The sequence below is a fragment of the Homo sapiens genome, chromosome 5 (assembly GCF_000001405.40).
Source record: "Homo sapiens chromosome 5, GRCh38.p14 Primary Assembly".
Lineage (NCBI taxonomy): Eukaryota > Metazoa > Chordata > Mammalia > Primates > Hominidae > Homo > Homo sapiens.
This window is the reverse complement of record NC_000005.10, coordinates 7,373,108-7,397,325: the sequence shown is the minus strand read 5'-3', so window position 1 is coordinate 7,397,325 and position 24,218 is coordinate 7,373,108. Positions and strand designations below refer to the sequence as shown.

The window sequence follows — 24,218 nt, the reverse complement described above, 5'->3', positions numbered from 1 at the left end:
CCCCTCACTTTTCAAGGGAGCGAGCCAAGGATTTCTGCTTGAAAAATATAAACTGGCAAAACTGACATCAGCTGTTGAGCTGCATTATACTCCTCGTGATGAAATCCACTTTAATAACCTGTCCAAAACCCTAAACACGTTACTTCTTTAGAAACGGGAAAGCAATCGTCCGTCCCAAACGCTTCTTAACTGTAGTCTCTGAGATGAAAGATTGATTCACAAGTCAACACCACATCACTTTCCGTCTATCGGGCTAAAGAGCTAAATGCATACAGATTTAAAGGCAAAGATGTATACTTAATTTTTCTTCTTCATTTTCCTTGTCATTAACCACTTTCCCAAGGCAGGCTTTCTGCAGAGTTGAATAACGCCCAATCCCAACTAAAATGCCAACTGTGGGGCCATGCCAGTGGAACCGGGCAGGAGACAGCGACTCGCCCAGGAAGCCCAGGGCTGAGTCGGGGAAGACCTATTCCAGCGCTGCGGGCAGCGGTGCCCGGCGGAAAGCGCAGAGTTTGCCAGCGGGTGCGCAAAGATGCAAAAAGCACACGCCCTGCCCGTCCACCTGGTGAACACCTCGGGAACTTTATTTTGGGAAGAGCCTTCCCAGGAAACTTTTCTCCCGCCCGCAGCCCTTGCCAGAGTCCACCGGGCCGCGGGCCAGCAGGAGAAGCAGGGAGCCGCGGGCCGAGGGGCTGCCGCGGGCCGAGGGGCTGCCGCGGGCCGAGGGGCAGCCCGGAGCGGGACGCGGCTCGGCTGGCCGGGCTCCTCTCAGGGCCGGGGAAGGCGCGGCGCTGGACCCGCGGGGAGGCCACTCACCAGCCCGAGCGCGAAGAAGACGGCGAGCAGGGCGAGGCAGGAGCCCATGACGATGAGCAGCAGGAAGACGATGAGCGGGTGCTGCTGGCTCATGCAGTAGTAGGACTCGTAGAGCCAGTCCCGGGACCGCGGCAGCCCGTCTCCGCCGCCCGCCGCCTCCTCGGAGCGGTCCCGCAGGTAGCGGCGGCGCCGCATCGCCTCCTGCCACATCGGGGCCGCTCACAGGGCGCCCGCCGTGCGCGCCCGGCCCGGGCAGCGCCGCTCGCCGCGGCCGCCCGCGTCCCACCCCCGCGCCGCCTCGGCCGGCCCGGCTGCCGGCACCCGGAGCTGCGCGCAGGGGCCTCCGGCGCGGGCGGAGCTCGGCGCCCCGGGCTGGGCGCGCTGACGCGCGGGCGGGGGCCGGGCGGCGGCCTCGGGGGCAGCTCCCGGCGCCGCCGCCGCCACCGCCACCGCGCGGGAGGGGGCGGGTTCCACGGGGCCCTCCGCCCGCCGCTCCCCGCCCCGCGCGCAGCCGGCCTCCGTGCAGGGGCGGTGTCGGCCCCCACCCGACGGCCCGGCTGCAGGCTGGGGACGGCGGGGGCTGTACGGTGGGGGGAGTGGCGAACTGAGGGGCTCCCGCTGCGCCCCGGCCCGGGGTCGTCCTCGCCCGCCGGCCTCCCACACTCAGCCACCAGGTCGTCCACCTCCTCTGCCCTATCCCGAGTGCAGCGTGGGTGGGGTGGGAGGGACGGCCCTCCCCGCTACGAAGTGAGAACACAGCCTAAGGGGTGGAGGGAGGGAGTCCTACCCCCACCACTCCCCCCGCCCCACCTGGCTCGGAGCACTGCGGGGCTCCTCAGCTCCTCTCCACTACCTCAAGGTCAGCGGGCAGGGACGCTGCCACCCTCCTGTTTCCTCCACCCCTTAGTGGGCTGCGGGGCCTGCTCCCACCCTCCCCCACAGTCACAGAGCGCAGCCGGGGTCAGAGGACCCGGGGGGTCCCTCCTTTAGTACGCGGGTCAGAGGACAGCGGGGTCTCCCTCCTTTTCACTCTTTTGGGGAGCTGGAGAGGATTTCCCACCCTTCCCGCCTCCCCGCGGTGGGCACCGGTTTGCCGTCCAGCCCTTCTTCCCCTCAGCGTAGCAGGGTTGAGGGCTCCCCCATCCTCTCCACCCTCTTGAGAGGGCCGGGGCTCCCTGCGAGGGCGGCAGGGCGCGGAAACGCCAGGGGACCTAACTGGAGACCGGCACCATGTGGAAGTGAAGCGGCAGTGACTGCACTGGGAGCCCCCGCCACGGCCTCGCGGGGGCAGCGTCCGTTGCGCCCTGCACGCTCAGCTTCAGTCACACTTTGGAGGTGCCGTATAAGCCTGTCATATCACAGGTTTACAGAGCTGCCCCGTGGCTGGTCGTGGTCCTCGCCGAGCCCCTCTGCTGAGCGGGGATGGCGGCAAAGGGGCGCCGGGGAGAGCGGCTGGGCGCGGGAGCGGGCGGGTCGGCCCTGGGAGTAGCTCCCTCCCTGTCACCTTGGGGGCCTGGACGCAGGAGGCGCTAGAGACCCGGCAGGAGCGTTGTGGGGGCGGATGTCACCAGGGACAGTGTCCCCTCCCGACACGCGTGGGAGCGGAGGCCGCTGGCCTTCGCCCTGGGGGCCGAAGGGGCTTCATTGCTTATCACCAAAGGAACCCACCCTTCTGGAAGTTTCCTCCTATTCGAGTGTGGTCCGGCCCAAAGAGCCCCCAAATCCCACCTCCTCCCCCAAAGCCTTACCCCAAGGAATCCAAGGCACAAGAGCCCTCCCTTCTCCTGCCACCAGCGAGCATCCCAGAGGGCAGCCCCAGAGGGCTGTTCCATGCACTTTTCATCTCTTCCAGGAGATGACCAGCTCTCAGGACTCAGCCTTGTCACCACCTAAGACCTCAGAACCTTCTCGAATGGCCCCATGCCCCGCCTCCCTGGCTGTCCTGTCCTCCTCGCTGGCAGAGGGCATGTAAGCTAGGTAGCTGCGTTACCCTGAGCACAGGGCCAGGCCGGGCACGGATCCTTCCAGAGGTTTTCATTTTAGCATCCGTCAGTGCCCACAGGGCCTAAGGATGAGGGCTCAGGAGCTGCACAGCTCACCCGCAGATCTCATAGACACCAGAGGCAGGGAGGTGGCCGAGGAGACTGGGCCCAGGGCTGCGTGCAGTACCTCAGGTCCGGCCCCACCAGGCTCCCTGGTCCCTGGACTTCCCTCCTTCTGAGGACCTGGAAACAAGGAGTGGAGGAGGAGGCAATGGGTGGGGGGGTGTCCCCCTGAAGCCTCCTGTAGGTCCCAAGGCTCACCTCCCACCGTGGGTCATCCTGCCCTAGCAGCAGAAAGAAATTCTCTTCCCTGCAGTGTTTATGGACTGCTGCCCCCACCCTGTCCTGCCTGCCCTCCACTCCAACACCCTCCTGTGACTGTAACCCAGGTAATTTCAACCTCAGACCCTCCCACCAAACCTCACTGGGCTGGATGCTTTGGGCTCGGTGCTTTGCTATGAACCTCAGGATGTGATTACTATACTCCCAGATTTTAGGTTTTTGAAGGTTCTGAGAGCAAGCTTCCATGACAGACAACACTGATGAATCCGCGGTATAAATATCCAGAACCCAATCCCTTCCAAGGAAACACGGTTGAGTGGGAAGCTGGACACGGTTTCTATTGTGTTGGTTCTGTCTTCCTCCGGCTGTGTGCTTGGTCTTTCTGGGGCGGGCAGAGTTGCACATTTCCAGTCCTTTCCTGTGCTAGCAACAGACTAATTATTCATCTTCTCTTCAATCTTTGCTGCTTCTTTACCCCTTGTATTGATACATGTTTGTCTTCACCCACTCAAGAAGGGAGAAAAAATAAATAATCCGTCATTTAGGTTTATGCGAAAAGAGCTGAAAAACTTATGAGGAAAAGGAAATGCTTAATTACTGTCTCCTTCTTCCTAGTGGGGAAGTGGAATCTTTTAAATATCCAGTATGTATACCATATATATGTTCTCTGTATGGTAAAGGCAGTCTTAAGACTTTTAAGAAATTTTGTTACAATGTAATGACATGGAGATTATTTTGCCCTTGATCTTTTTGAATTTTTTTTAATTCACTCATCCTTCCATTAGTTTATTAAACTAACATTATGTGCCTACCATGTGCTGGATGAAGGGGGCAGGGTGAAGGCGTGGGAAAGACAGGGATCCTGGGACCCTTGTAATAGTTTCCAATTTACTTTGAAAAGTAAGGCTACAAGAAGTGAAACAGGAACAAAAATCAACATTCCTACTCCTCCTTTCCTCCTGAACACTACAATTTAAATTTCATCATCATAGACACAGGACTTAGAAGGAAAATAATATAAAAATGAAGAATATGTCAGTGCTTCTCTGAGGCTTTGTTTGATCTTTGTTTTGTTTTGATGCTTATTTTTATGCGGGCTTCTGTCATTGCTTTATGTTTAATACCAAAAAAAGTGAAACAGTACAATCATTACAGTTTCTGTATTCATGTTTTAGAATCGATTGCACTAAGTATGCCTTTTAAAAAGTTCTCCACAAGTTTGTATTTCAAAAAGGAAAAAAAGAAAAAAAGAAACAAAATAATAACTTACAAGCCATATGAAGTAAAATGAAAAACGTCCTTTAGTACAAAGCCAGGAGCGTGAAATATGGACTCTTGAAACTAAAGGGACCCCAAAGGAGACCTCTGGTTCATTTCTGTGTCTCTGGGTAGCAGGGCTGCCACTCCAAGGGTAAGGCCTGGAGAGCAAGAGGTTCTCCCATATATTTACTCTGTAGCAATTTATTTGTTGCAAAAAGAAACCTGCTGGGGAATCTCTAACTGGGCCTGTGGGAGAAAAAATAAAAAGCAAACATCAGGAAGCAGAATTCCTCTTTCCTGTAACGCTAGAGGGCAGCCCTCTATCCTCATAACCCAGCAAGCAAGGCTGACTTTTTGGATCTGTGACTTGTGCAGCTGGTTTAAGGTTCTGCTGTCACCACCCTGAAATTCTTCAAAATTTTTGATCAAAAGGTTCTGCATGTCCGTTTTGCCCGCGGCCTTGCAAATTAGAAAGCCCATGCTGGTAACAGGTCACACTAAACAGCACTCCATTCTGGGCCTGCAGGCAGAGCCTACGGCAGGCCAGCCAAAGGAGAAGGCCTCCTCTGCCTGCGAACTCAAGCCCATCCCCTCCTAATGTGGTCACCTCTCAGGGATTACATACACACTAAGACACACCTAATCGATTATAAATCTAAGCAATCACGCTGCAGGATAGGTTTATGCATCAGTGGGTTTTGGTTTAAAAATAACCCATCTTCTAGCTCCTATTTCAAATCCAGTTAGATTAGCTCAGTCAATGACGCCGTCGTGTTCCTCTCAACATCCACAGGGCTCTGATTGATTAAATCAAGGCAGCCCAGCAAACTGCGCCAAGGTCAGAAGCGAACGTGTGCCAGCCAACCTGGGGCAGATTGTAGAGCTGAGCACAGAGTCTTTCCCTGTGTATTCATTTTTCTCTCTGGCAAATACATTACTAAAATTTATATAATAAAGTATGAACAGTATGTCAACAGATTCATTATCGCCATGAAATATGCTTTGTGTACCCAGATAACATTTACATTTTTATTGAACCAGAGTCTGGGAATACAGAATCCACCCAACCCAAGCCAGTTTATGGCTCTTAGAAGTCAAATTAACTCTTTCAGTTCATTTAAGTACTCCTTTGCAGTTCAGTTTCCAAAGCATCAACAAAACGTTGCTGACTGTAAGATTAATATGTTCATTTTCTTGTCCATCCAGTGCTGAATGGTCCCTACGTGCCTTTAAAAGACGCTTCTTAATTGGCTTATTTGATAAATTAAATTTTCAGGGACAATACCAGAATCAATATTTCAAAAAATCATCTGTAAAACCTGATTTGGAGTGACTTACTGAGATTTTTGGCCCTTAACATGTGAGAAGATGGTACTGGTATTTCAGAACAGACCTTTCACAAATGCCCACTGCCATGGAGAAGTTTAATCCTGGTACTCTTTTAAAATCCATTGACATGCTGCAACTCCTTCCATGAGCGCTGGGAGGAGTGACAATAGGTTAATGACTAATCAGTTCCAGCACGTCTACAGCCTTGTGAGAGATATCGATTTCTCGGCTCTTGCTCGGAGAACGTGATCTAAAAAGCAATGACTCCTGCCGCCATGGAGACGTGTGCTCAGGATCAGTTGCCTAGAGAGGTGCAGGAAGAGGGGCTTATTTAGCAAGCTTACGTAAATGGAAAGTTCACATACCTTGGCTTTTATTTTTATACCCTTGTTAGTGTCTCTTAAAATAGTCATTAAGGAGTAACTTAATTATGCTCTAAAATTTAAAAAAAAAATGTTTATTGAGGGACAAGACATGGCCTCTATGGAACCATGCCGAGATATAGTTCATGCATGTTTTTGTCCAATTTCACCTTTCTCATTCAATTCAACCAACATATGATTTTAAGCCACTTCACATGTTTTGATTCATAATTTTTTTAATTTGAAAATAAATCAAATTCACTTCTAGTCTTATTCCACACTATAGTGTAGTAATTGTGAATATTCTCAGAATTGCTTCCTTAATGTACTGGATTTTGTTCCATCTCTGATATCAACTATACATCGTTGGAGAAGTCACATAAGATCTCCAAGCTTCAGCTGATTTATTTTTAAAGTAAGAAAATAAAGAATGGACCAATTTTTCTAAGACTCTTTCAAACATGTTTGTACCACCGCTGGGTAAAGGAATGGATTTTAATCAATATTTTTAGACTGAAAGGAAAAAAATTGTTTGCATCCAATTAAAAATATATAAATATAATAAAATTGAACTGCACCAAGAAGGTTGTTGAATTTTGTCTAATTATTTAATAATAAGTACTATTTCCTTTGGTATAAAGCAAGAAAAAAGTGTATTAGTGGTGTATCATAACAATTAGTAAACACCCACAAATCCTACTTTTGTATTAACGTGGCCTGTGTTCCCTCACTAAGAGGTAAGTTCTGTCAAGGCAAAAGATTTTGTTTCTTTTGTTCCTTATAGTCCTATTACCTGAAATTTGCAAAACACATAATAAGTGCTTAATAAGTATGTGCTAGATGAATGAATGAATAAATCAAGAAAGACACAGACAACTTCATTCTTTTAAAAACTGAGTTCAATTGATGAGTAATGGCAATGGATTAAGCAAAACTTCATTTGACAAAAATATTTCCAGGTCCTGAAGAGGTTGTCTTTATATGTTTGCTATTATACTATATTAAACAGTACCCTCCACTATATCTTTAAAAACCTCATGATGTTTTCAAATTTTAAAGTGGCAAGGTTTTCATGAAAGATTGAACATCTATTGCTACCAATTCCACTTGACCAATAGAGCAAAGGGTAACAGTACATATAAGGTGAGATACTAAAGAAATAATGACAAAATAAATGTGTCCAGGAAAAGAGATTATCTGGAGAAAATATCATTGAGGTTGATTTTTTATCAAGAGAAAATGGCATCTAGTACTGTGAGTTCCCAGCAACAAATCTTGGGCAAAACGTGTGTTCCCAGTAACACATCTTGGGCAATATCAATGAAGTCTCCCAGGATTTATAAAGCGTTAATTTAAACCTTCGTCCTTGGCCAGGCACAGTGGCTCACACCTGTAATCTCAGCACTTTGGGAGGCCGAGGTGGGTGGATTACGAGGTCAGGAGTTCGAGATCAGCCTGGCCAACATGGTGAAACCTGTTTCTACTAAAAAAAATACAAAAAGTTAGCCAGGCGTGGTGGCAGGGGCCTGTAATCCCAGCTACTCAGGAGGCTGAGGAAGGAGAATCGCTTGAACCCAGGAGGCGGAGGTTGCAGTGAGCCGAGATCACGCCATTGCACTCCAGCCCAGGTGACAGAGTGAGACTCCATTTAAAAAAAAAAAAAGAATTTCATCCTCTTTGCAGCTTAACTGTATTGAGATATTGACATCAAGAAGGCAGAGGTAGGATGCAGTATAATGTGTGAGCTCCCTGCATGGCCACACTGATTGCCAAGTGTGAAGACCAGCGTAGGGGGTAGTAAGAAGAACGATCAGAATAGGCTTGCTGTTTGCTGGATTTTGTTTGTTCATTACACCTAGCATTTTTGTAAAATGTGATATATTTCTAAATTTAATTTCAAATGCTGTAAGGCCTCATGTTCATGGACTGAGTTACAGATTGCCTATAATAAATCCAGGATTTTTTGCTATTAAATGGAAGACTTCAAAAAGAAACCATAATAAATATTTTAAGTAGCACATTTGAGTGCTGCAGCACGCGATACATATGAATATCTTCATGCCTAAGTAACTGTGCACTTCTCTTCCAAATAGTACCCCAGCCACACCCTCAGCTCTCATAAGTGACAAGTCTGAAACTGAACTCAATGTCCGAACCTAACAAACCTTCTCCTGGCTCCAGGAGGCTTGGACTGTACTGCTCTTACTCTGTCACTGGCCCACATCCAAACAACTATTGTTGCTGCCAATGTTACCCAGTATTTTCTCAAGTCTCCCCCAGTTTCTTCCCTCATCATCTCCTTCCTGCTTGCAGCTGCCCTGCTTAACCGTCTAATGCCATTATACCTCTTGCTTTAGGCTCCAGAAATAATTGCAGGGAGCCCCTCAAGTTTCTGCGACCACCCTACTCCCACCCCCATTTCTGGACCTATATCCCTGTTTCTTCCTTTGTCTGCAACAGTACCCGCCACCCACACCCACCCACACCAACTCTCACCTACCCACAACCCTCCACTTCCCTTGTGCAGAGAGCTGATTCTCATCATCTACATCTGGGGCTCTGCTTGGCCTCCCTCCTTCACCCACTCTCAGCACCATTAGCTGATTATAACACTATTTCAATCCTGATTACTCTCTTAAAATAGCAAGCCACTATTGTTAAGCAATATTTTGGGTATTGGGAGGGTTAAGTAAAAGACATTTTGAGAGTACATCTTTTTAGTAATGCATTATGATGATGACTAGCATGCAGGCTCATTTTGTCCTTTATTATTTAAAAAGCATGATCATTTATATCACTATGAACAAGGAATTGTAAGCACTGGGGTTTTTTTAATAAAATGAATACACAGATAACAGTGACTAAATTTTTATATAAAAACTAGTTAAGAAAATACTGTCAGAGTAATAATTGATATTTCAAATGAATAATCAATTGAACCTTCCTGAAACAGACAGAATCTGCTTTTTCCTGCACATAAGCCACCTGAAATGTACTTCTCTCAGCTCCTATTTCAGTACAACGTGATGCCTGGGACAATGTTTAGGGAAGGTTGCTGGGCTCATGTGGCCAGTTGCCTCCAAATGACCAGATATGGTTAATGTGCCAACTCTATCAAGACAAGCTGTATTTACATTGTTACTGAGAAACGTTGAAGACATTTTCATGCTCAGCAGGCTAAAGGAATAAAAAAGCAATCTTCAACCTAGACCCTCATTATTGCATTACAGTCTAATAACTAATACACAGGAAAAAAAATCTGTCTCCCTGCTGCAGGGAGCTGTTCTTCTAAATATATTCTTCCAAGGAGCCAACAAATGGAAGACTTATCTTAAACATTTAAAAAATATACACTTAGAAATTTTAAAGATATTAATGTTAAAATATCTAGATTAAAATATAGAAAATATATATCAGGCTTGGAGGTTGCTCAGTGTTGATTCAAATTACTTTATATTGTTTCATTAAAGTGCAAAGTATCTACTCTTAAGATGTACAGTTTGTAATTATGTGTTGTTACAGGGATGCATTTACTTTTTTATGTGAAGTGAAAAGTATGTAATTATATTTAGTCTTTAAATTTGCAAATAATATAATTATGTCTGTTTTGGACAAAATTTTACAAATAAGTTGTAAGTCCTTGTTGCCAACCTTCTACATTGATGGTGTAGAAAAGTGTCCACTAGCCATCTTCTTTCCCTCTTTCAATGGTATTTTATAGGAAAATTCAAGGGATAAAGGACTTGCGAAATTTGACATCCGGAATCACAGGTGTAAGTGCATAACAAAATCAGATTAGTCCAGTGATTTACACATTGCCCATCAGATGTCTTCTTTCATTTGGAACCTTTCAGAATGTTTTTGCTTCCTGAGAGTAAAGTATTCTTGACCCAAATAATATTCGGCCCTTTTCTTCTTCGGGGTCTATCAGTCGTGTTTCAGTGAATTACATCTAAACAAAAGGGCAAAATGGAGTTTATAAAATGATTTTTGTACTTAGCCTGGTACTTAGACTTCTTTTAGAGCCCAAAGTTTAAGAAAGGGCTCTTAGGCCGGGCAAGGTGACTCACACCTGTAATCCCAACACTTTTGGTGGGTGAGGTGGGCAGACAGCTTGAGCCCAGGAGATCAAAACCAGCCTGGGAAACATGGTAAAACCCCATCTCTATAAAAATACCTACAAAACTTAGCCGAGTATGGTGATGCACCTCTGCGGTCCCAGCTACTCAGAAGGCTGAGGTGGGAGGATAGCTTGAGCCCAGGAGGTCAATGCTGCAGTGAGCCGAGATCCTACCACTGCACTCTAGCCTAGGCGACAAAGCAAGACAAATAACCATGGAGATTTGTATTAAGAAATGCTGAACTGCTATTGTCCAGGTACGTTTCTTATTAAATAGGTTTCCATAACAAGAAGCAGAAGGGATACTGGTTCCACTCAACGCTTTCAATCCAGTGATTGTTAGATGAATAAACCATTGAAATGTCTAAAATGTTTTAAAGCATTTAAAAGATGATTACTTGTGCTTATTTACCTTCTTTTTGATCATTGCCCCAGAATAATTTATGATATACTTACACAAGGTCTTATAGTATAAGACCTTTAGGGAAAGGACCACACTGTTTAAGCTGCTCGGACAACTGGATACTCCACATTCATGATCTCGTTTAATTAATTTACTTATTTTTACTGTAATACATATGTAATCCTATAATCCTTTGAGTTTTGTAGCTTCTTTTAGCCATCTGGAAGCTTTTCTGTTTTTTAATTGACTGATGATTGATTGATACCCCACCCAATTCCCAAGAAGGATTAGTGGATTAATGGCAGTCCTCTGATTGTTCTATTTCAAATAGTGCTTAATTAAAAAGATAATTCCAACTGGTTTAAAAATAGGTGGAATATAAATTTCAATTAAATAATAGTGGGAGTAAGCAACTAAAGATAATTAAAACATAGCAAATTTTAAAATGATTAATGAGCACATACAAAATCTAGACTTGATTATTTTAGAATGTGTATTTAATTTCAGAAATGAACTCTAAGAAATGATGGTGAGAAAATAAGACCATGGCAATAAGAGTAACCAAGCAGAACCTGGGCTCAGAATCTCTGTGTTGCACAGTATGCCTAATGGAGCTTTCTTTCGAGAGTGTAACTCGGAAAAAAAAAAAAATGCTTCCCAGCAACACATGTCTCAAGTAGAGCTCACCTGAGCTTTATTTTTCTATAAGTGATTTCAGCTTTTCACAGAGCCCCGTCTCTGGGGTAGGGAGGAGAGGAAGTTGTTGGAGTGCAGTACCATCCATCGGGATCTGTGACAGGGTTTGGCTCTGTGTCCCCACCCAAATGTCATCTTGAATTTTAATAATCCCCATGTGTCAAGGGTGGGACCAGGGGGAGGTACTTGAATCACAGTGGCGGTTTCCCCCATGCTGTTCTCATGATAGTAAGTGAGTTTTCATGAGATTTGATGGTTTTATAAGGGGCTTTTGCCTTTACTCGGCACGCAGTGTCTCTCCTGCCACCTTGTGAAGGAGGTTCCTTGCTTCCCTGTTGCCTTCCACCATGATTGTAAGTTTCCTGAGGTCTCCCCATGTGGAACTGTGAGTCAAGCAAACCTCTTTCCTTCATCAATTACCCAGTCTCGGGTATTTTTTCATAGCTGCGTGAGAACAGACTAATATAATCTGTCACTGGGGTTACAGAGTGTATCATATAAGATTGTATTATATAATGGGGTTATAATTATATATAAATAACCTCTTATTATATATATATATCTATGTATAATGCCCTTTATATATAATATAAATATTATATATTTATATTTATGTAACCCTTTATATACAGATGTATATAAATTTGTATTTATATATAAATATATCTATACAAATTTATATACAGATAAATTATATAACCCCATATATATGGTGTTATAGATTGTATCATATAAGATTGAGTTATATAAAAGGGTTATATTTTTATATATTATATATAATATATACTTATATATTTATATATCTGTATGAATACAGATTTTATATAAGATTGGGTTATATTATTATTACCGATTATTATATTATATATTATTATTATTGATTGATTGGGTTATATTATTATTGAAAAATATGAATAAAGGTTTATTTACACTACCTTGAATTATACAGATTGTATTTTTATGAGATTAGGTTATATAAAAAGGTTATATTTATATTTATATTTATATTTATATAATGGGGTTATATTTATATAACCCCTTTATGTAACCCAATCTCTGATTTGACAGCAGCGGCTCCACTTTCAAGATCTGCTCACCCTTTCCAAACTTAACCAAAGTGTCCCCTAGGAGTGAGGGGAAGGGGAGATTCGTTATGCAAGAGGAATCTTAGCTTCAGATCCAGGGGCTTCTGTGATCCTCACTTGTCAGAAAGGCTCACTGTGCCAGTGGCTTCTGAGGTGTGTCTGCCCTGGTCATTCCATTAGCACTGGCTGATGGATGGTGTAACTTGTGGCTACCCCAGTCAGGGTCTGGTGGCACTCCAGTCTTGCCAGACTTCCATCAGCTCTCACGGACTCTTTTCCATCACCCTTGACTGAGGTAACTTTGCCTGGCACCCTGATAGACCGAGGCAAGATGGCTAGCTCTCACCCCAGCTGTCTTCAGGGCCTCCTGACATTCAGAGGCATGCAGGGATTTTTGAGGCATGTCCATGCCACAAAATTGGGTGTGTTTTGTGGGGGTCAGGGACAGGTTCTCAGCAGCAAACCGATTCTCCCCCTGCTAGCCTGCCAGGCGCTATTGGTGCTGCTCTGGTACAGCACCCTTTGTGAGTGCAAGACAGGAGTCCACCCTGAGGGCTGTGCCCGTGCCATACTGGTTGTTGAATGTTTTGACTATCACACATGTCCTAAATTTTTCTAACATCTGCCTCCTCCTATGGAGGTTCTATGAGAACACATTCCCCGCTTCCAAATCCTCCCTAGCTCTCCCTCCTTTCTTTCTTCTTACTACCCAGTCTGGGACTTTCCACTTCCTATTCTTCATATGTTCCTTTTCTCTGTCCTTGGAATTCAATGAAATTCTTAGATCTGTGTCTGCAGACCTGCCTTTTGATGTGCTAAAAGTGCAGTAGTGGTTAGGATGGCTTTCAGCATCAAGGAAGAGGATTCCTGACAACCCAAGATTCAATTATCTAGGTAATTAATAATCGCATCCAACAAGATGTCTGGAGGTGGCTCCATGAGGTCCTATATTCCCAGGGCCATTTATCACTTTGCTGTACCATCCTTGGCACAATGACTACTCTTCCCTAGTCACCTGTTGGGTACAAGGTAACCACTGCAGCAAGAAGTGTCCTGTACTCCCATAACAGAATTCTGAATAGAAAGGGCATGGGAACAAAAGGGTTTTTGCCCCCAGGACATTTTAGACAGAAGAATTCTCCCTGTAGCCATTGGCCAGAGCAAGGCTGTGTACATATCTTCCAACCATTCACAGGAAGATAAGTGACATCACCATAATGCCAACATCCATGAGGATTCACTCCCTGGAGCCTACCTCTCCAGAGCCTGTGCTGAGCAGATGCCTAAACAAAATCAATATTGGTTGAGTTAGCAAGGAAAAAGAGAAAAGTTCTGGTTAAACTGGCAAGCTGCTGTGTCCATCCCAGAGGAGATAAAAAAATGTATAATAGTCATTTCTCTCCTGAAGAAGCCTTTGATAATCATTGCTTTGCTAAAGAAGTCAAGAAAGTCAATTTTAAGATTAAAAAGTAATCAGTGTTCTCTTTGTTTTTAGCAATGTATATCCTTACCTCTTCTGGGGTTACAGTGGCACATGGTTTCAAGGAAAAATTTAAAAAAAAACTTCTGATTTAATTTTAGTAAAATTAAAGAGCTATTTTGAAATATTTTCAGGCTGGTGATCTCATCATTTATCTAAATAGTGGATATACAGTAGGAACTGGTATTGAGCTCTGAGCTAACGTCTGAAAGAAGCTTATCTGAGAAGATTCAATGATATAAAATTTAAAACGATAATTTGAAAACTAGGAGAAATATATCTTGGTACAATAGAAGAACTTTTCTCCTTCTGCTAGTTGTTTAAGATGAAACAGATTCTCTAGGGAGTTGGTAAATGTGAAGAATGAGATCTGTGATAGATATAGACTGGACAAGATGACTTCTGATTTTCCGATTTCAATGTTTTAAGACACTTGGACCAAATCTAATAAGTTTGACCACCACAAATAGGCAAACAATAAACATTATCATGCTACTCTATGGGAGTGCTATTTATGTTAAAATTCTGAATATAATACCATGAATTTAATGTGCACTTATCCTTTGGAATACTGAATAGCTGACTGACAGCAGAGCTAGTTTTATTACCACTTATTCTTAGAAAATTCACACATGGTAAATGTCTAACCCTTACCATATGTTTTCGCCTGCCAGCGAAGCTTGACATATTTTCATGGGATCTATCCATCATACAGATATAATATGTGTAACATTGTGAGGCTGTTTCCTGAGTAAACACTCTTCAACTCCCCAAAAGAATACTTTTAGAAAATGTGAAGCATCCATTTTAATTTGAGAGTTTGGATTATAGAATCAAGACAACAATGGCACTAGAGAAAATGAATAAATAGTAGTGACCATCCATATTTTGTATTGTCATAACATTTTTTATTTTCTTTCATACATGCAAAGAAACCTGGGGTAACTTGTTTTATTCAACTAAAACCAAATAAATGATATATTATGATACTTAATAATAAAATATGTTTGTATTTATGAATTGTAGTTTTCTGTTGACAACCTTCCCTGTCAACTAATGATTGGTTTTAGAATTCCATAATTTTATTTTGCAAAGATAAAATGAATTTAGGCCAATATAAATAATAATGAGAATTATTGTTAACTGGATACCAATTCCAGTGTAAGGATTAATTTAATGGCCATCTATATTGGCATTATAATTTAGTAAATGTAAGATTTTTTACAAATATACTTTTGTTTCAAATGTACATTTAATTCTCTTTTTACTTCCTGCCTAGTATATGAATTTGAAAAATAATAATAAAGGTTGATTTATGCTATCTTGAATTATTAATATTTTTAAATAGTGCTCTAAGAGTTATGATTTCTATGAAAGCAGAATGGATATATCAGAACAACCCTGATCAGAAAATAATGCACAACTCTGGAAATCAGCATTCCACACTCATATACACACATGCACACAGACTCAGACTCATTAACTGAGAAGTCTATATCAAGCAGAACATGAATTTGAAATGAAGACTTTTAAGATAAATAAAATCTGAAAAAGATTAATTACCAGTAGACCTGTGCCATAAAACATTTTCAGCATGAAGGAAAATGATATCAGATGGAAATGTACATCTACAGGAAAGAACAGAAATACGTAGGTAGATGCAACTGGCAGGGTGGCTCAAGCCTGTAATCCCAGAACTTTGGGAGGTCACTGGGGGAGGATCACTTGAGGCCAGGAGTTTGAGACCAGGCTGGCCAACATCACAAAACCCCATCTCTACTAAAAATACAAAATTTAGCCGTGTGTGGTGGCACACACTTGTAATCCCAGCTACTCGAGGGGCTGGGGCACGAGAATCTCTTGAACCTGGGAGGCGAAGGTTGCAATGAGCTGAGATTGCACCACTGCACTCCAGCGTGGACCACAGAGAAAGACTTCCTCAAAAATATAAAAATAAAATAAGAAACATGTGGGCAGATGTAAAAGATGGTATTTTTTCCTCTATTATTTTATCTAAAACTAGATATTTAATGCAAAAATGATTTAATTGTAATGTGAAGTTTATAGCAAATACTTTATAAAAATTATGACACTAGCAAAACACAGGTAGATAGGTTAATTTATGCACTGACAGCTTCTATAATGTATGTGAAGTAATATTTATGGTTTTAAACAGACAGTGATAAATTAAGAATGCATATTTTAATTCCTAAAATAACCACTAAGAAGAAATATAATGTATAACTAAAAAAGTACAATTTAAAATATTTTTCTCGTTTGGTTTGGACTATTTCTACTGTCCTACTTTTAATTCAGTACAAGTACAGATTTCAGTTTAACTAAATATTGAAACAAAATTCAATCAAAGTATTGAATTGGAATTCTAATAGCAATAATCTGACCCAAAATAATATAGGAAGTGAGAAACAAAGGAATAAAAGACACACGAGACAAAATGAAAATGCATTGCAAGGCGGAAGAACTACGACCAATCATATCAGTAATTGTCTTAAATATAAATAGACCGAATACTCCAGTTAAAAAGCAGAGACTGGAAGATGAGATAAAAAAATCAGGTTCAGCTACATAATATAAAGTCTCAGATAAAGAACTGTGTAAAGATGGAGGAAAGATATAGCATACAAAAGTAAGAATGAGGAAGCTGGTAGAATTAGATTAATATCAGATGAAATTGAATTCAAGATTGGAAATATTACCAGAGATTATGAAAGACTTAAAAAACATATTAAAAGGCTCATTTTGTCAAGAATACATAACAAATCACCAAAACATCAATTTAAGATGGATCACTGCCTTAAATATAAAAGTTAACATTAGAGAGCTGCTAGAGGAAAATATTAGAGCATAACCTCAGGACTTTGGTATAGCAATGATATTTAGTCCACAAAATGGACTCAACATAAAAGGAAAAATTTGATTAATTGGATGTGATTTTTTAAAAATTCTGTTCATAATATATGATTAAACAAATGATAATGTAAACCACATTGTAAAAGAAAATATTTGGAATATGTATACTTGAGGATTATCATAGATCCAGAATTTATGTAATTCTTACAGCTCAGTAAAAAGAAAAAAATTCAAAATTAAATAGGCAAAATACTTAGACATATGTTTCAAAAAGAAAATATACCAGTGGCCACTAAACACATGAAAGTATGGTCAATACCATTGTTCATGAGCTAAACCAAAATTACATTCACAAAAAGCATTTCATACTACTCCAATGGCTAACATCAAATGGATCAATACCACCCAATGTTGGAGTGGTTGTGGAGGAATTAAGACTCTCATACGTGCAAAATGTTACTTTGGAAAGCAGTTCAGCAGTTTCTGAGAAATGTAAACTTACACCAACCCTAAGATCCAGCAATTCCGCTGTTAGTAGGTATTTACCAAAAACAAACAATAGTGCCCACAAAAAGTCTTAAGAATGTTTACAGTTGCTTTTCCCATAACAACCCAAACTGGAAAAGGTCGTGTGTCCATCAACAGAATAATGTGAGAAGTTGTGGTACGTTTACATAATGGAATATGATTCACTAATTTAAAAAATATACGGACTACTGATACAAACAACAGCATGAATGAATCTCAAGAACTGTGAATCAAAGAAGCTGAATTATGCTCCTGCCTGGTTCCATATATTGAAATTCAAGAACAGGTAAAGTCTTGATGCTACAAGCCAAACTCATGGTTGCCAGGGGCATCACCTGGAAGCGGGTGTAAGAGAACTTTTTGGGGTAATGGACATGTTCTTTCTCTTGATTGGTGTATACGTTGCTCCATCCTCATTGCATTGCACACTTAAGATCTGTATGTGAAAAAAATAAGAAGTAGTTTGTAGGATGGAATATTTATATAGAAATAAATTCAGACAAAATTATTCTAAAACAACAAAATCATTAATATATCATTTAAAGGATTGCCAAATTTGACTGTGGTATATTTAATATCAAACATTTTAAAATTATATTTTAGGACATGTATTCATTTCAGAATTTCTTAGATCATGTTTTTTTCCTATATTTCACAAACATTTGTATTGAAAATAGTTCAATATGACAATTTAACTTCTGATTGGAAACTCTGGTCTGAAATCAAGTTATAGTACGGGTAGGAAAGTAATAGTAAAACCACTGTTAAGAATAGGAAGATCTGAGGGCCTTGCACAGCGACTCACATCTCTAATCCCAACTCTTTGGGAGGCTAAAGTGGGAGAATTTATTGAGGCTGGGAGTTTGAGACCAGCCTGGGCAAGATGGGGAGACTCCATCTCTACGAAAATAAAAAATAGACAGTAGGAACAAATAAAATGTTCAGTTTAATACGCAATGTGTGAAAATAAAAATAAAATACATCTTTCTTATAGATACCAAAATAAATGAAAAAGTAATAGATACAAAGCTAAAAGATCAGTGTTGATCAAAAATGACATAATAACAATTTTCAGTAATAAAGCTCCTATCATTAAATATTCATCCAACAAATCTCATCTTGAAATAAATATTTAATTTAGCTGTGCTAGGTAATGGCCTAAAGTATAAGTTATTCACATAATAAAGTTATAGGTCTCTAGTCAAAATTAAATAGGCAAAATACTCTAGCAAGTGCATACCACAATTCATTAAACTCCAATCCTATAGAGTATTTCTCTCACTTTCTGATTTATTCTCTTTCCTACCGATGCCTCTTCTCCACCTCAGTATGGTTACCTTCCAGAATCTCAGAATCCTGAAGATAGGGCCCCATTCTTTCCAGGGGTTTTGTTTTGGGAGCCTCAGAAACCTAGGTCAGCTAGAGGCTGTGAGTGGGAGAACGCGCTTCACATAAGCCCCAGGTACAGCAAACTCTAAAGGCCTCTACCTCTTCCTTTCCTGGGACACAGAGCCGCCCCCTCCCATCCTGAATGCTGCCCAGATGCCCCTGAGGCCACGGATCCTCCAGTGGAACATAGACACATGGTGAACCAGAATGAGTGTCCGCGGCTGTCCATTCATGACTCTTCCTTGGAAGAGGAGCTTACACACAATACTGAGCTTCCCCACTCATTCCTGAGAGGAGGAACAATGTTCTCAGGGCTCTTCCAGGTAGTTCTTTGGTGATCATTTTCGTTGAAGACCTCCCACAGAATGGCAGGTGTGAACGTAGGCACGCATTTCCTCTGTGGTTTTATTTACTCATCCCATATGTTGTGCCACAATTTTTGTGTGCGTTTGTGTACAGGCATTTGATAATGTTTACCTAAATCATACATGAACTATCTTCCTGATGTTCTTCTTTAAAGAATGTTATTTGTTAATTTGATAGAAGTTTGAAGTTTGAAGGACCAAGCAGTATATCTTATCATATAATAGCTATAGTGTGAGTTTTCAACAGCATTTTGTAAGTTCCCTGAGTGTACTTGCAGCCCATTATAATTACTTCCTGTTCACTTTGAGCAATTTAGAGAACTCCAAGGTCAGCGTATACTCCCCTATTAAAATGATTATAATTCATCTCTGTGGAGTGGTGGGTTTAGTTGCATAACCTAACTTAGGAAAAACAGAGAACCTGGAAAGTGTCCAATTAAGGAAATACGAATTGCTACACTTTATTAGAAAATGAACAGTGTCTCTCTTTGTATGTAACCTATCACTAATGGTGCAGTTACTTAGATTTGTTTTTCTGTGTCAAATCCAGTAACATGTTTTCATTGTTCCCTTTATGACTAAGATAATACATATTTGAGAAAATTGTCTGAAGTTATTAAGATATGAATTTACAATGTTATGAAAATGGGATGAAATGAGATGAAACTTGTCTTATTTGCACTTTGATCTGAACCACGGAGCCTCCCATAAGATATCATCCCAATTGTGGGTCAGAACTTACTCTTGTGTCTTCATAAACTTGGGCCTGCAGTGTTAGTGCTCAGTTCTGACTGAGTTATTTGTGGACTAATATCAGCCCTGAAATGATGGAAAAGAACATGATTCTTGAAAGCCACCAATGGGGAGCGAGAAAGATGCCCCATGGCTGAGTGAGACAAGAGGCTATCCAGGCAGATGCAGCACTCAGCTCACCAGTCATTCTATTTCATGAAACATGATCATCAGTGAACATTTACTAGCTAGATTTTCTGCAAGATATTTGAATAGTGCCCTTTCTTAATAGGGCTACACTCTGCATGTGTCTGGCCAATATTTTTGTGTCTGCAGTGTATATACGTAACCATTGTTTCCTGAGAAGAATTTGCATAGAACTACTGACAACTGGGGAGAAAAGAAAATTTTGCAAGAAGGCAGGGAGATGACAGTGATTAGGAGATGGGAGAAGGTCACCCCCCCAATTCTAGGAAGAGAACAAGCCCTGGATGAGTGCCAATGTGAGGCAGAGAGAAAGCGAAGAGGAAGTTAAACTTAAAGCTGTGCATTTATTTCCTCTCTTTTCTCTCTTCCTTATTTCTCTCCCCCAAGAAGTTCTTGTCACCTGCCCCATCTCAAACCCCATCTTGTGGAAAAGTTCCTCAGAGGTCTGAAGCATTGCCTTTGTGCCCGGGTCAAGAGCCCTCCAGGGACTCCTAAAGGAGGATTCAAGTGTCAGCCTGATTGAGGATATTTTTAACGTCATTATATTATTGATAATACTGTTCTTACACTTTGTTGCTGATGGAACTAATTTTGCTCTTTCAGAAGAATAGTATTCTGAAGGGAGAAAGGGAAATAAAAAGAGAAGGCAATAGAAAGTGGAAACACTCTGAGAGAGCTGGGCAAGACTGAAAGAGAAGCTGACACAAAACTAAATGTAAAGGTGTTGGAGAGAACGTGCATTCACACGGAGAAGGGTGGTCCAAGTGGGAGAGCTGCAAGTGAAGAGCTCAAGGAAAGAAGAATTAACAGGCAAGGGAGGAGGCCATGGCAGGTTGCAGGGGTTGGGTACTGTGACCTTGGAGAGGAGGGATGGAAGAATGGAAGGTCCTGGGCTTAGAGTTAAGCACATGGACTCAGCCCTGATGCTGCTCCACTCTTTGTAATGGCCTGGGGCCATATCTTAACTTCTCTGAACCTCAATTATAAGTGGGAGTGTTTGATAAAGTAAGTTCATGGGTACATGAAGCATCTAGCAGTAGCTCATGACCTGACAAAAGTAGGTTTTGTTGATCTGACTTCCTCTTCTGCCCCATCCTTATCAGAGAAATATAGAGAATGAGCCAGGCAGGCTCATGCACTTGAAGCTATCTTTCTGATGTATCCAGCCACATCGTCTGCAGGGCAAGGAGGACACAGGCCAGTTCTTACTGGCCTTGCAGGGTCATTGCCCTGAATATTTCAAACGAACTCTATTATGGAACCCTGTCTTGAAAGTTGGTAGAACCTGCATCCCAAGACCAGCAAGATGGAAAGCTATTATCTCAGGATTGAAAAAAAAAAGAAAGAAAGAAAGGAAAGAAAGAAAAAAGAGTGCTTGTGATAAGAATCAGAGTCTTTTAGGCTGGGATCCAAAGACGGCTTTTGGAACATTGCATTTACAAAATACGTTTATTCCTTCTTAATTCTAAATTATCTCGACCCAAATCCTTTTAACACATAAAGTTATTTTAAAAGTACACTGTCATTTCCTGCTGAAGGCTAATGGAGAAATGCTACTATAATAAAACTAGAAATAAAAAATATCAAGCTACATCTATGAGACGAGGAATGTAGTATACATTTTGTAATATTTCCTGAAAGAGACTCAGAATTGGATGTGTGTGCCTGTTTACATCAGCCACATAAATCAATGTAGTCTCAGACACTAAAAGAATTCACTCTAGAACAAACAACAGAGGAAATGTGTTTAGAAAATCTCAGGCATCAGAGAAGTAAAATCTTTCATTAATCATCCTCCCATTTCACTGTCCATTTGGTGAGGTTTCCATAGGAATCGGTATTTCAGGACGTTAGATATTTAGTGGTGCTGCGGATGGGTGAGCTGGCTTGAGGCAGGTATCCTAGGAACTGTAGGAGGCCAGAGGACATCGTTTTCTGCTTGGTGAAGATATCACTGAATTTTATTCACATGATTCATATAATATATCTACTGAAATCAGCGCGATTGCTGAAATTTGTACAAGTGCGATCAAAGTACACACATTTAGGGGTTACTCAGTATCTAAAAGGACAGTATGAGATTGAGCACTTAAGCTAAGCTATCCTTAATGTTCATGTTTTCAAAAAAGTTGGGAAAATTATTCTATAGTATTAAATGAATAGTTAAAATATTGATCACTCATTATTTCAAATGTTTAAGGTAAGCACACAAGGAAACCTTATCAGTGATAAACTGTGGGCCGGGTGCGGTGGCTCACGCCTGTAATCCCAGCACTTTGGGAGGCCGAGGCGGGCGGATCACGAGGTCAGGAGATCGAGACCATCCTGGCTAACACGGTGAAACCCCACCTCTACTAAAAATACAAAAAAAATTAGCTGGGCGTGGTGGTGGGCACCTGTAGTCCCAGCTACTGGGGAGGCTGAGGCCGGAGAATGGTGTGAACCCGGGAGGCGGAGCTTGCAGTGAGTCCAGATTGCGCCACTGCACTCCAGCCTGGGTGACAGCGAGACTCCGTCTCAAAAAAAAAAAAAAAAAAAAAAGTGATAAACTGTGGATGGTGGAAGAATTGGTGACTTATGCATACAATTTTTTTTTTTTACTTTCCACATTTTCTGAAATGACTGTGTTCCATTTATAATATATTTTTAAAATCTTCAAAAAAAATAAAGAAAGCATTCTGATGTTAAGTCAAGGACTAGAAACAATAACAAGAATATATTCATTATTTATGCCAATATAAACACATCATTTAAACATATCAGGGCATTGCTTCAAGTGCTTATTTTGAATTAATGAGAAATAAGTCATTTTTGACATGGGTCACCTGGTAAAACACCTGGTAACAGCCTTCGGGAAACCAAGTTCCAGTTCAGTAAGTAACTAACGAAATATACATTGCCTTGTAAGCACATCTTTGAGATGCCATTGGGGAAATCTCTAGGTTTGAAAGATAAGGGATTACCTGCTTAACACGCTTAATCCATGCCCAGCTGTCAAGCAGAAATTAAATGTGTTAACTCTCTCAGTGAGGAAGTAATGAAAGAGTCAGGAATATCGCTCTTTTATTTCTCAAAAACCATTAAAAAAAAATCTAGAGAAGCCCTCTGTGTTCTGCAACATAACAAGATGATTCATTGGACATTCCCCTGTGGCCAACACCTCTGTATGGTATAGGGTAAAAAGAGCTAAAGAAAAATAAGATACAAATAACTTCTTCATTTTGAGTTCTGCTGGAAGCAGCAGCTGAACCTTTTCAGCTTTGTTAAGTGCCAGATGATGATCTTGCTGCCTTTACAGTGTTGTCTCTTTCTCTGTCGTCTTTAAGTATGAAGGAAGAAATATTTTACTCATGATCATCCCCAATTTCTCCCCAGCCAATTCAGCTTTGGCTGCAGTAAGAACATGTTTGCACTGTATCAGCATCCTGAATCATTATAAATACATCATTCATTTTAGAGTTAGATAACTAATGAAATTGCTTAATCTCTTTCATTCCTTGTTGACTTGAGAGTCAAATGTGTTCATCATGCAATATACTATAAATTAGTAAAGAGAGGGAATCATAGGATTATTCTTCCTTAATCCCTTACTTCGAAGATAATAGATGAAGATTTAAATTCTGTATTTTTGATTAAGTCAACTCTATGAATTTTCTGGTTTGGATATAGGAAGCAAGGGTGATGTCCATGTAAATATTGCTACATAAGCTTATATCTCAAATAAATTTAATATCTCTACATATTTTCATAATGTTTTAATAATATGCTATGATTATTTTGATTTGACATTGTTACTTATTTAAGAATTGGTTGCAAATAACAAAAACAGAAGATTCTCACCTCTCAGATGGCCAAAGCACAAGCAGATTTGATACAGCTGTATTTTTTAGATGGAGTCTCGCTCTGTCGCCCAAGCTGGAGTGCAGTGGCGCGATCTCAGCTCACTGCAACCTCCACCTCCTGGGTTCAAGCGATTCTCCTGCCTCAGCCCCCTGAGTAGCTGGGACTACAGGCGTACACCACCAAGTCTGGCTAATTTTTTGTATTTTTAGAAGAGATGGGGTTTCACCATGTTAGTCAGGATGGTCTCGATCGCCCTCCTCGGTCTCCCAAAGTGCTGGGATTACAGGCATGAGTCACCACGCCTGGCCTGATACAGCTGTATCTTTAAAGCTCCAACATGTGAGGAGGTTCAGCCTTGAGGGGCCTATCAGGAACCAAGAACCACAACATTCTTTTCCTTTCTGA

General features: G+C 41.5%; 1 protein-coding gene and 2 long non-coding RNA genes across 7 annotated transcripts in view, besides 2 other annotated features; 1 reads left to right on the top strand and 2 right to left on the bottom strand.

Annotated features, from left to right (window-relative positions):
* ADCY2 (adenylate cyclase 2) overlaps positions 1-1,188 on the bottom strand; it is a 433,944-nt gene extending 432,756 nt beyond the window's left edge. For all 5 annotated transcript variants that reach the window (NM_020546.3, XM_011513942.3, XM_047416645.1 and 2 more), the window contains exon 1: positions 820-1,188. In NM_020546.3, coding sequence (NP_065433.2) covers positions 820-1,029 — 210 coding nt within the window. In that variant the 5' untranslated portion in view covers positions 1,030-1,188. The remainder of the gene's footprint in view (positions 1-819) is intronic.
* Positions 1,107-1,872: an enhancer, noted in NCBI's record as "H3K27ac-H3K4me1 hESC enhancer chr5:7395567-7396332 (GRCh37/hg19 assembly coordinates)". NCBI's record gives its function as "activates a minimal SCP1, AML or CMV promoter by ChIP-STARR-seq in naive H9 embryonic stem cells {active_cell/tissue: H9 hESC(naive)}" and the evidence as "EXISTENCE:reporter gene assay evidence [ECO:0000049][PMID:30033119]".
* LOC107986403 (uncharacterized) lies at positions 1,377-6,678 on the top strand. The gene is made up of 2 exons (XR_001742597.2): positions 1,377-3,250; positions 3,352-6,678. It is a non-coding gene; the product is annotated as an uncharacterized LOC107986403 (long non-coding RNA).
* Positions 1,873-2,638: an enhancer, noted in NCBI's record as "H3K27ac-H3K4me1 hESC enhancer chr5:7394801-7395566 (GRCh37/hg19 assembly coordinates)". NCBI's record gives its function as "activates a minimal SCP1, AML or CMV promoter by ChIP-STARR-seq in naive H9 embryonic stem cells {active_cell/tissue: H9 hESC(naive)}" and the evidence as "EXISTENCE:reporter gene assay evidence [ECO:0000049][PMID:30033119]".
* LINC02142 (long intergenic non-protein coding RNA 2142) lies at positions 5,422-24,160 on the bottom strand. Its single transcript, NR_183263.1, has 4 exons — positions 23,811-24,160; positions 17,613-17,713; positions 10,276-10,402; positions 5,422-6,035 (listed from the first exon to the last, which is right to left on the bottom strand). It is a non-coding gene; the product is annotated as a long intergenic non-protein coding RNA 2142 (long non-coding RNA).
* Positions 24,161-24,218: the final 58 nt, after the last annotated feature.